This window comes from Homo sapiens, chromosome 12, assembly GCF_000001405.40.
Source record: "Homo sapiens chromosome 12, GRCh38.p14 Primary Assembly".
NCBI lineage: Eukaryota > Metazoa > Chordata > Mammalia > Primates > Hominidae > Homo > Homo sapiens.
In genome coordinates this window covers 124,685,992-124,697,761 of record NC_000012.12, presented here as the reverse complement: position 1 = coordinate 124,697,761, position 11,770 = coordinate 124,685,992, and the positions used below count along the sequence as shown (strand labels likewise).

At 50.6% G+C, this 11,770-nt stretch overlaps 2 annotated features.

Moving 5' to 3' along the window:
• Positions 2,442-2,943: an enhancer, noted in NCBI's record as "H3K4me1 hESC enhancer chr12:125179365-125179866 (GRCh37/hg19 assembly coordinates)". NCBI's record gives its function as "activates a minimal SCP1, AML or CMV promoter by ChIP-STARR-seq in naive H9 embryonic stem cells {active_cell/tissue: H9 hESC(naive)}" and the evidence as "EXISTENCE:reporter gene assay evidence [ECO:0000049][PMID:30033119]".
• Positions 9,106-9,827: an enhancer, noted in NCBI's record as "NANOG-H3K27ac-H3K4me1 hESC enhancer chr12:125172481-125173202 (GRCh37/hg19 assembly coordinates)". NCBI's record gives its function as "activates a minimal SCP1, AML or CMV promoter by ChIP-STARR-seq in primed H9 embryonic stem cells {active_cell/tissue: H9 hESC(primed)}" and the evidence as "EXISTENCE:reporter gene assay evidence [ECO:0000049][PMID:30033119]".

Here is an 11,770-nt window from a genome sequence, read left to right as displayed (position 1 = left end):
AGGCTGAGGCAGGAGAATTGTTTGAACCTCAGGAGACAGAGGTTGCAGTGAGCCGAGATCAAGCCACTGCAGTCGAGCCTGGGCAACAGAGTGAGACTGTCTTAAAAAATAAATAAATAAATGAATATATACATAAAAATTAGCTGGACATATGGGCGCATGCTTGTAATCTCAGCTACTCGGGAGGCTAAAATATGAGAATCACTTGAACCCAGGAGGTGGAGGTTGCAGTGAGCCAAGACCATGCCATTGCACTCCAGCCTGGGTGACAGAGTGAGACTCCGTCTAAATATATATATATATATATATGGGCTAAAGCAGACATAAGGGTAATCTGCCATGATCTGGAAGCCCCATAATGAGACAGCATCTTTTGATCTGTCCTCAGCAAGGTTCATCAGCCTCCTGCTATCTGCATCAACCCACTGGAGGGGAAGCCTGAACTGCTCTTCCCCAGCCCACATCTCCCCAGCATCCCCTGGGGGCTTTTGATATGGATTTTACCAGGTGGAAATGAGCAGAAGGACATTGCAAATGGAGTGGGCTTGTTTTTTCCCCACTGCTTTGCCTCTTTTGGTCTGCTTTGGGCTCTCTGGGGAAAATAACTGTTGCTGATGGAAACAGGAATTCCTAGAGCCCCAGTTTGGGGTTAAGGTGATGTAGGGCAGGCAAGCCCCAGAATCAGGGCTTAGCCTGGGAGGGTTCTTGGCTCCACCCAGGAAAGAATTCAAGGGCAAGCTGGTGGTGTTTGATTGCAGCCGCAGTGCAGGGCAGCAGCAGAGGCACTGGGAGATCGGGCAGTGTGCCCAGAGCAGCAGCTCAGAGGCAGCCCTGCAGTCTCCTTTATACCCACTCCTAATGATATGCAATTAAGGGGTGGGTTATCCAGACACTTCTAGAAAAAAGGTGGTAACTTTTGAGTCATCAGGTCATTGCCATGGAAAGGGGTGATAACGTCCAGGTGTTGCCATGGCAATGGTAAACTGACATGGCACACTGGTGGGTGTGTCTTATAGAAAGTTGCTTCTGCCCTGCTCCTATTTTAGATAGTCCTCAATTTGGTCCAGTGTCTGAGCTCTGCCTCGAGTTGAGTCCTGCCTCCTACCTCAGAGGGAGATCAGGTAGGAAGTTTTAGTGGTATTTGCTCCTGGAGTACCAAGCATTTCAGGGGAGAGCCTCTCATTCATGGGCGGCTGGGCTGGAAGGGGGTTTTGAGTGGAATCACTCGCTGCACAGTCTTCTCCAGGGGGATTCTCTAATTTCAGGTGACCCATGCCCCTCTTGAGAATAATGTTGATTGACATTCTGGTGTTCTGCCCCAGGAGCCTCCACCTGTGTCTAAAGAGGTCAGCTAATGGCTTCCAGCAGGGGCAGGTGACACTTGTGCTCAGCTCCTCTCAAAAATGACTCACCTCTCCTTCTGCACCTGGCATTTGAGTCTAGAGGTCTGAAGACCCGCAAAGGGTCTTCTCTCATCATCCCAGCCCTACACCTCAACTTAGCTTAGGACTGGCCCTCATTCAATGCCCACCTCTGACCCTAACCCCAACCCACCAAAGCCGGTCCTTGATCAAGACCTGAGCCCTCTGTGAGGCCTGAGAAGCTGGAGGGAGGTTTGGTCCTGTGATGCCCCTGGGACGCCTCATCCAGCACGTCCTGGCCAGCACAGCATCTGCCATTCACACTTACACCTTGGACAGCTCCCAGGGATCTGCTCCCAGGTCCATGGGCTGCCATCTGCCAGACTGTCACATGCTTCGTCCTCTGTCGGTTTGCCCTCCAACCAGGCCTCAAGCACTCTCCCTCTTACCACCATTCCTCCAAAAAAATTTTTTTTTAAAGATTATGCTTCCAGCCAGGTGCAGTGGCTCACACATGTAATCCTAGCAATTTGGGAGGCTGAGGTGAGAGGATCACTTGAGCCCAGGAGTTCAAGACCAGCCTGGGCAACAAACATAGTGAGACTCCATCTCTACAAGAAATATACAAAAATTAGCTGAGCGTGGTTGGCATATGCCTACAGTCCCAGCTACTCGGGAGGCTGAGGCAGGAGGATCGCTTGAGCCCAGGAGGTCAAGGCTGCAGTGAGCTATGAATGCACCACTGCACTCCAGCCTGGATGACAGAGTGAGACTCCACCTCTAAATGAAAATAAAAATGAAAAAAGAGAGAAGAGAAGGGGTGTATAATCAAAAGCAACAAGCCTGAGGCTGCAAGGTGCGTGGTTCCCAGACAATGGAAACTGCCGTGGGCCATGACAGCCCCCAGCTGATCCTGTACCTGGAGGGGACGGTTTGGGGGTATGACAGAGTACGGGGTGCACCTTGGGAGCTGGCTGTGGAACTGCCACTTGGAGAGTGGGGGGCTGCCCTGTGAGCCTGCCAGGGCTTTCTCCCCAGCCATTCAGCCTCCTTGGGTCCTCTGCCCCAGCCTGCCTTCCTGGCCGGTCAGGGTGCTGAATAACTCCAGTAACCATGAGAACACCTCCCACTTGCGGAAGCCTCCCTTTATTTGTTGGCTAGGGCTGGCGTAACTAATTAAGCCACAAGCTGCGTGGCTTAAAACAACAGAAATGCATTCTCTCAGTGTTCTGGATGCCAGAAGTCAGAAATCAAGGTGTCCACAGGGCGGTGCTTCCTCTGGAGGCTCTAGCGGAGGAGCCTTCCTGCCCCTTCCAGCTCCTAGCAGCTGCCCGCAACCCCGGACCTTCCTTCCTTGACGCAGCTGCGTCACTGGCTGGCTGTCCTTTGTGCGTCATCTGTTTTTATAAGGATACCAGTCACTTCATTTAGGGCTTGCCTACTCCAGTGTGACCTCATCTTAACTTGGTTCCATCTGCAAAACCCTGTTTCCAGATAAGATCACATTCACAGGTTCAGGGTGGACATGGATTTGGAGAGCGGGGATGATATTCACCCCAGTAAACTCCCCAAGGGCCTGCACTGGGTGAAATACATTCCCTGTTTCCCCACATAATCTTCACAGCAGCCTGTGAGGCAGGTGCAGTCAGTTCCCACTGCATGGATGAGGAAACTGAGGCTCACAGAGGCTGAGCATCAAGTGCCCAAAGCTGCACAGGCTGGGGGAGGAAAATGGCTTGGAACTAGATAAAGGTGAATGGATTAAATACCACTGAACTGTACATGCTGCAAGGGTTAATTCTATGTCATGTGAATATTACCTGGTAAAAAGTGTTCTATCTTGGTACCTTTCCACTGTCTAAAATCCACGCTGCTAGAGGGAATCTGTGGTCTTGAGATGTGAAACCCATCATCGAGCCACTTCCTGTGGTGGGAGTCTTTGTGTCCGGGAGGCCTCGGTTATAGTGCAGATGAGCTTCCTGGAAGGTGGGGACTGTGTGCTGAGCGCCTCCCTTTAATACCCAGCAAGGACTGGGTTCCCTCACTGGCCACCTGTCATTTTAGAAGGCAGAGGATATGGGTAAGTTTTGCTTAATTAATTTTGGAGGAAGGGATACAGGGAAAGTGTCAGCAATTGGGAGCTAGTTTTTTTGGTTTGTTTTTGGTTTTTTATTATTTATTTTTATTATTTATTGATTTATTTGAGACAGAGTCACTCTGTTGCCCAGGTTGGAGTGCAGTGGCGCGGTGTTGGCTCTCTGCAACCTCCGCCTCTTGGTTTCAAGCAATTCCCCTGCCTCAACCTCCCAAGCAGCTGGGATTACAGGCACCCGCTGCCATGCCCAGTTGTTAATTTTTGTATTTTTAGTAGAGACGGGTTTTCACCATGTTGGCCAGTCTGGTCTCAAACTCCTGACCTCAAGTGATCCACCCGCCTCGGCCTCCCAAAATATTAGGATTACAGACTTGAGCCACTGTGCCCGGTCTGTTTTTGTTTTTTTAGAGACAGGATATTGCCCTGTCACATTGGCTACAGCGTAGTGGCATGATCATAGCTCACTGCAACCTTGACCTCTGGGGCTCAAGGGATCCTCCTGCCTTAGCCTCCCTAGTAGCCAGGACTACGAGTATGGAACACCATGTCCAGCTAATGTTTTTAAAGTTTTGTAGAGACAGGGTCTCACTATGTTGCCCAGGCTAGTCTTGAACTTCTGGGCTCAAGCAATCCTCCTGCCTCAGCCTCCCAAAATGCTGACATTACAAGTGTGAGATCCAGCCATGGCCAGGATCTTGAAGTTCGTGTGTTTGTCCTGCACTGGCCCCTCTAGCCCATTCCTGGCCTCACTCCGTGCACGCCCCCAAGCCCCTCACCGGCCTGCTGGGAGAGCTGGGGTCACTGTTGAACAGTCAGCCCCAGAAGCCTAGCTCCCTATGTATCTGCCGAAAGGCCTGATACAGCAGTAGCTCAATTTTATTGATCTTGTCAAAAGCAGTAACTCAAGAAAGCTATTTAAATTCACGGGAGGAAGCCACAGCAATTATCCACGTCTGCATCAGATTCTTCATCATTTTTGTTATTGGCTGTGGAGCCTGGAGACATTCTGTGTGCGGCTGACGCGGCAGCGAGGGGACCGCTGAGGGCTGAGGTTTTGTTTGCAGCCCAGGAAAACAAATACCATAATCAAGAGTTCGCCGATATAAATCTATATGCATAAAGGTTTACAGGGTATTCCCACGGGGACGCACGGGCACCCAGTGGTTTAGATTCATTTTGTCCCTAATCCCAGCCAAATCCCGTCAGCCTATTCCTGCAGCTCCTGTTTTAGTGCATAAAAACATTGCGATGTGTGATGGAGCAGGTGATTTTTTTTTGCAGTCTTTCCCCCATAGTTAAACTTTAATGAAAGATTAAATCACAGTGGAATTTGAGTGACAAGCAGATGAGATCTGTGGCAGGCACCGTGAGTCTGGCTGGGTGGGCTATGGCAGGGACTGGGGAAGATGACCCCACCTGCCCACCACCAGAGTGCCTCGGACCTCAGCAGATGGCAGCTCTCTGGATTGGGGTCATGATTAATTCATCTCTTAATCCCTGGCACCTAGTAAGTGCCTGGTACACAGCAGGTGCCCCAGTGAATAATTGAATGAATGAATGAATGAATGAGCTGGCTGAGTTGCCTGCTTTAAATTGTTGTTTGCCAAACAGTTGCTCCTGGATATCCTGGTGTCATGATATTTTCTGTCTGTGCTGGACATCTTTAGTGTGTCACTCCAGGCCCAATCTTCACTCTGTTCATCTAGGCCTGTTGGCTTCCAGCCCTTGGGTGTCCAGCTAGAGGTTGGAAGCAGGTAGAGAAAGAGGCCAGGGGGTGTTTACAGCCCCAGTTCCTCTCTGCAATGTCCCAGGTTGGCTGCATCCCTCCAACAAAGGATAGGGCTCCTATGGGGTGGTCCTCTCTTACAGCCACCCTCTTCAGGTTCTGGTAACTTACCTTCAGGTGTGGTGATAGCTCCTCACTGTTGCTACTGGAGGGGAAGGGCTTCTCTACCCCCTGCTCACACCTTTGCAGATAATTGATTAGTTAGCGCTTCTCCATTTCCTGTGTCAGCATACCCTCCTCTGTTTTCTAGTGGGATCCTAACTGATAATGCATCTAAACTACTGTTTTCTTCTTCTAAAATCAACTCACATGCTTTTACTCAAGTACCAACTTGAGCCGTGAGAGCCAGCAATTCTCAAAGTGTGGTGCCACACCAGTAACCTCAGCATCACCTGGGAGCTTGTTAGAGATGTAAACTCAGGCCCACCCTGGACTCACTGAATCAGGCATTCTGATGTCGGGGGGAAGCTCCCTGTGTTCTCATAAGCCCCCTAAGAGATTTGCACACATTCTCAAGTGTGAGAACCACTGGTCTAAGTAAGAATTCCAGCAAAATCAAAGGTTTGGATTATGTGTGGTCCGTGCTACCGGATGCCTTCCCAACACCCACTCTGCCCCCACCTTCCTCACTAATAAAACCCTAATTTTGTTCAAGATAGTTTGAATCCCACCTTTTCTAGCTTCCTCTGCAAGTAGGGGTTGCTCCACGACACAGCTCTGGCCAATAAGATGTAAGTGGATGTCCTTGGGTGGGGCTTCCATAAAAGCTCTTTAAAAGGTGAAAGTGGGTGGGTGGCAGTGCAGGAAGCTAGTGCAGGTCTTTTGCCCTATTCTCTTTTTTCTCTTCCTGCCTGGAATCTAGATGCAATGCTGGAGGTACAGCAGCCACTTTGTGACCATAGGTGACTATGAGGATTAAAGGGGTAGAAAAGGGCCTGGGTATTCATGGAGTGATGGGGCTACCTTCCCAGCCTTGAACAGGCCACCTCCAGATGTCTTGTTAAGAGGGAAACAGAAACCTCTTATTTGGGTAAGCCACTGTTATTTGGGTTTTCTGATATATGCAGCCAAATGCAATTTCTAGTTAAAATAAACACACAACTATGACAAGAAGTGGTCATCTGTGTGTCCCACTGCCAACAGCCTCACAGGCCATGAAACCCTGCTTGAACTGAAGGGTCATCATTGAAGGCGAGATTCCACTCCAGACTGGCACACAGAGGCTTGCCTGTCAGAGCTGGCTCTGAGCAGATGCAGGATTTATGACTTTGTTTATACTTGCATCCTTGCAAAAGAGGATCTGAAGACAACTTCAAGTCAAGTTAAACTAAAATTAAAGCAGGAGAAAGATTAAGGAGACCCAGGAGGTCTCAAATGACATTTTAAAAATTGTCATTATCATTGTCATCAATCTCAAAATCTCCAGAATACTATTAACAGGGACATGCACCAGGTCCTGGAGACCCTAAAGGCACTAGCAGCCTGATCTGAACTTCCAAGGAGTTCACCGTGCAGGCAAGAGACCATGCCAAGGGTTCACTGCAGCTGGGCAATCAGGGAAGACTGCTCAGAGAAGGTGTCATTTGTGCCGGTAGCTAGGGGAAGAGAGAATGCCCATTGATGGAATATCTGCCTGTCTCAGGCACTGCATCAGAGGCTCCTGCCAGCTTCCAAACTGCTCTGTGAGGAAGGGATTACCACGGGGAAACTGAGGCTCAGAGAGGGAAAGTGACTTACTCAATGTCACACAGCCTATTGGGGGAGACCTTGGGCCCACTCTGAATCTTGAGTACTACAATCTGAGTCTTTCGGCATCATAGACAGGGTTTCCCCAAGGCACTGAGAGATGCCAGGAAGGGGACCCCAGCTCCAGAGAAACCACAGCCTCTCGGTGTTGCTCGGAGTGCACTAGTACCCTCCTAGGTGCTTTTAATTATCCACATTTTCCAGAAGAGAAAGCTGGCTCACAGAGGTGAAGGCACCTTCTCAGGGTGGAGGAGCAGAGCCAGGGCTCACACCCAGGGCTGTGGGGCTCCAGGGGTCTGGCCAGAGCGCACTGGGAATTCCAGGAAGGCTTCACGGAGGAGGACCAGATGTGATTGAGAAGGTGGCAGAGGAAAAGGCCTAGGCCCAGGTGCGGCAGTGGGATCACGGCAGTTCTGTGTGGCCACGTTGGCAAAGAATTAGATGTCCATTGCGTGTTTCCTATGCCACCGTCCTGAGCACTTCATAGCTATCAACCCCTTTCCTCTTCACAGCCCTGTGAGCTCGGTGCTGTTTTTGAACCCATCTTACAGAAAGAGAAGTTGAGGCAGGTTACTGTTCAACCTCTCTGTCCTCTATTTTCTAGGCATCTCTCTTCTCGCCCATTCTGCAGACAGCCAAGTGCCCCTGGCAGGATTTCTGTGTAGTTACAGGTGAGTGTGGACAGCCAGGGCAGTGCATCTGGTTGTTGAGCTCTGGCTCGGAACTTCCCAGCCTCACTGGTGGAGTCTGTGCTACGACTATGCTTTCCTCCCTTCTCCTCACCTCATGGCCCCAGACAGGGAACTCAGCCCTGCAGCAGACATCTGCGGCCCTCCCTGTCCAGACTGTTTCCTTCTAGGAGGAAAGTCCCCTTGCATGTTCCTTTGGGGAAGAATCCTTTCCTTCTCTTCACCCATGTAGTTTGGGTGGGGCAGACTCTGCCCCATTACCATGGCAATTGGTTCAGGGATAGTCCCTGTGACCAGGTCAGGCCAATAAGAACCTTCCCTGAGACTTTTGCTGGAACCACTTGGGAAAGAAGGTCTCTCTTTGCAGAGTTGCTATGCTGGTGGGATGTGCCCAGACCTGCCTGAGAGACAACCCAGTCTAGAGGAAAGCAGCACCAAGATACAGAAGGACTGATGGTGTTTGTTGAGCCCCCGAATCAAGCCATGCCTGAAGTACCCCCTAGACTTTTTAGTTACACAAAATGATAAAATTCTTTTTTTTTTTTTTTTTTTTTTTTGAGATGGAGTCTTGCTCTGCCACCCAGGCTGGAGTGCAATGGTGTGATCTCAGCTCACTGCAGCCTCTGCCTCCTCCCGGGTTCAAGCGATCCTCATGCCTCAGCCTCCCAAGTAGCTGGAATTACAGCTGTGTGCCGCCATGCCCAGCTAATTTTTGTATTTTTAGTAGAGACGCAGTTTCACCATGCTGGCCAGGCTGGTCTCGAACTCCTGACCTCAGGTGATCCACCTGCCTGGCCTCCCAAAGTGCTGGGATTACAGGTGTGAGCCACCATGCCCGGCCCAAAATGATAAAATTCTAAAAGTTGGGTTTTTATCTCTGGCTACCCACCTCTCTGTGATTCCTCTTTCCCATCCCCTACCCCTAGCCTGGATTATTTCTGGGTGCATCAAACTTTGTTAAAATTTGGGGAGAATGGAGTGGTTTCACAGCACCACGCTGCTCCACTTTTTTTTTTTTTTTTTTTGAGATTCTCCAACTTCCCTGTTTTCCAGTCTCTTCCTCTCAGCCTCTCCAGGAAACTCTAGCTCCCAGACTTTCCTATCCAGGCCCCTCCCAAGCTTGGGCTCCCCTCACATCTCCAAAGCCTCATTATGGTGTCCTGCTGAGGAGATGGCCCCTATTCCTTCGGCATGCCCTGGCCTCACAGAGGAACTGGCTTCGGGCCTTGTCCACCTTTCCCTTCCCCTTTGTGAGCAGGCTCAGGGAGCCAGAAGGTCTGAGTTCCAACGGCAGCCCCTCCCTTCATTGGCTGTGTGACCTCAAGCACGTTACTTACCCTCTCTGTGCCTCTGTAACCTGGTCTATAAAATGGGAATGCAGCTAATACCTTTTTCTTAGGGTTGCCCTGAGGCTTACTTGAGTGCATTTGTGGAAAACACTCAGCACCATACCTGTCTTGTTATATTTGTTGTTATTAGAGGGGGATGATGTAGGAATTCATGTTCCCATTGGAATGAGTTATGTCACTTCCCTTAGGAAGCAGACGCAGTTACCAGTGTGTTTGAAAGTAACTGTTCCCCTACCTCCAGCACATCAGGAGGACTTTGGAAAAAAAATTCTCTTCCTCAAATAGAAAGGAGAGATCTGGGAGGAAATGGGGGGGGGGGTCCTGTTGGGGGAACCCATCAGCACATAGGGGGAGGAGGAGGGGGCTCTGGATCGATGCCTGGGGTGGAAATACAGAGCTATTGCTGGCTTTGAGCTGGGAGAGGGGGTGCTTCAAGAGTCTGGCCTCTGGAGGGTGTGCAATGGGGCCACATTCTTGCTGTTTCTTAACAACTCCTCCAAGCCCCACGCCAGCACTGGGCAGTCGAGAAGCAGTTTCCCCTGCATGAGCTGAGCCGCTTAACAGCTGATGTGGAGATGAAAAAGAACCCAATCAAGCTAACAGCCCTTCCTGGCTGCCCTGCAATGACGGTGCTTTGTGCTGAGCCGGGGAAAATATTGGCCGTTTAAGCATTCACACTCTCTGGGGAGCAGCTGCAGAGGAGGGGCGGCTGCCCGGGCAAACTTGAGAGAACTGAAGTCACTGTGGGCTTCCGGGGGATGGGAGGTGGGGGGATTGTCACGGGCAACCTCGTTGTCCCTCTATCCCTAAAGTAACCCCATGTTCAGGGAGGCGATGCGCTCTTTACTTTGAGTGGTCTCACTGCGCCATTGTACAGATGAGGAAACTGGGGCTCAGAACAGGAGGTGACTTCCCTGAGGTCATATGGCTGGGAAGGCCTCAACACAGGCCAGATCTGCCTGACTCCCAATCCCGTGTCATTTTTGTTCTGTAGGTGACCTCCCAGAGCTGGCAGGCACAGGATGGAGGTGGGGTTGAGGCTGGAGAAGCCAGTTTGGAAGCAAAGCAGAGAAGGTTGAATCTGGGGGCTTTGAAAGTGAAACTTAGGGAGGGGACCTGGATGCAGGCAGCTGGAGGAAGAGGGTGTGTGTGTTGCGGCAGGAAGCCTGATGGCAGGGGGTGTCGGGGAGAGACAGAAAGAAACAGGAGAGATAGAGAGATGGGGGGTAGAGAGAGGAAGAGACAGGAGAGAGAAAGATACACACACAAACACACACACACACACACAGACACACACAGTGTCAGAGAGTTATTAACCTCTTCCTTGGTTCTTTGGTGTTGCCTGATGTCCTAGACCACTTCTACAGCTGCTGAATATCCACTCATTCAATTATTCATTCATGCATTCATTCAATATAGACGTATCTTTAATTGAGCACCTACTACTTATAGGCACTATGCTAAACTCTGGGAAATCTAGCAGACGACAAAACAGGCAACGGTCTGGACTGTCAGGAATGTACATTTTAGTGAGGGGGTAGGGAGACCAACAGAGACGTAAATTATAAAAGGAGGGGGAAAAATGGCAAACAGTAGAGAGAGAACCTCAGGCCCGGAGGCAGTAAGGCATGTGGGGACAGGATGCAGACTCACTGGCAGGACAGGGAGGGGCCACTTTTTATAAGGTGATCTTGGAAAGCTTCTCAGAGGAGGTGATGTTTGAGCTGGAACTCTTGTATCAGGAAAAAGCCAAGGTTCTGTGCCCAGCAGGCTGGGACTGGGCAAGCCGACCTCGGAAGCCTTTCAGATGGAGGGAGAAAGCCTGAACAGGAGCCTTCAGATGACGGCAACCAGAGCTGACCTTTCCACTGCTGGAGACCTCAAGGGAGACCCTGCGCCAGAACCTCCCAGTAAGTGCCCCCGAGATTCCAGACCCACAGAAGCTGAGAAAATACATCACTGTTCCCAGAGGCTAAGTGTGGGGGCATTTTGTTATGCAGCAATAGCTAACTCACACAAGGGCCTTCTTGGATAGAGAGCGGCTTTTTGAGGGTGAGAAAAAGCATTCCTAGATTCTTGCCAGCAGTTGGTCAAACTGTGTCACATGACCATGACTAGCCCAATCTCTGGTTAGGGGCGTGATCACCTTGGACCAATCAGGACCCTGCCCTGGAGCTGGGCCGTGGCTCCCAGGAATCACTGAGGATGCTGGATGCTGGACCCCAGCCAGGAAGCAGCAGCCAAGATACTGCCTCCTGGCCTCCAATTAATGTCCAAGCTGCCATTTATTGAGCACTGACTGTATGCCTGGGTTTTCACCCACACCAAGTTCTGGCTCCACAGTTTTCTCACCAGCAGCCCCTTTCCCTCCTCCCAGCCTCCGCACCCGCCCATCCTGCCACACTGAATGCTGTTTCTGCCCCAGTTGCCAGTTAGAATCCCACGCTTCCTTCAAGGAAAACCTCACCTTGGAGTCTGTCTCCACTTCCTGTAAGAAGCCTTCCAAGATCCCCCACGGGGACTCATCAGGCAAGGATAGGGAGTGATGTCATCCTGACTATCACGACTGCAATCTTTTCACTGCCACGGAGCTGGGGTGAAATTGCCCTAGGCGGGCAATTTTCTAGCTGTGTGACCTTGGGCAAGTTACTTAACCTTTCTGCGCCTCGCCTTCCCTGTCTCTTAAATGGAGATCATATTAGTACTTCCCTTGTTGGGTCATTATCCGAGTTAAATGTTAATAC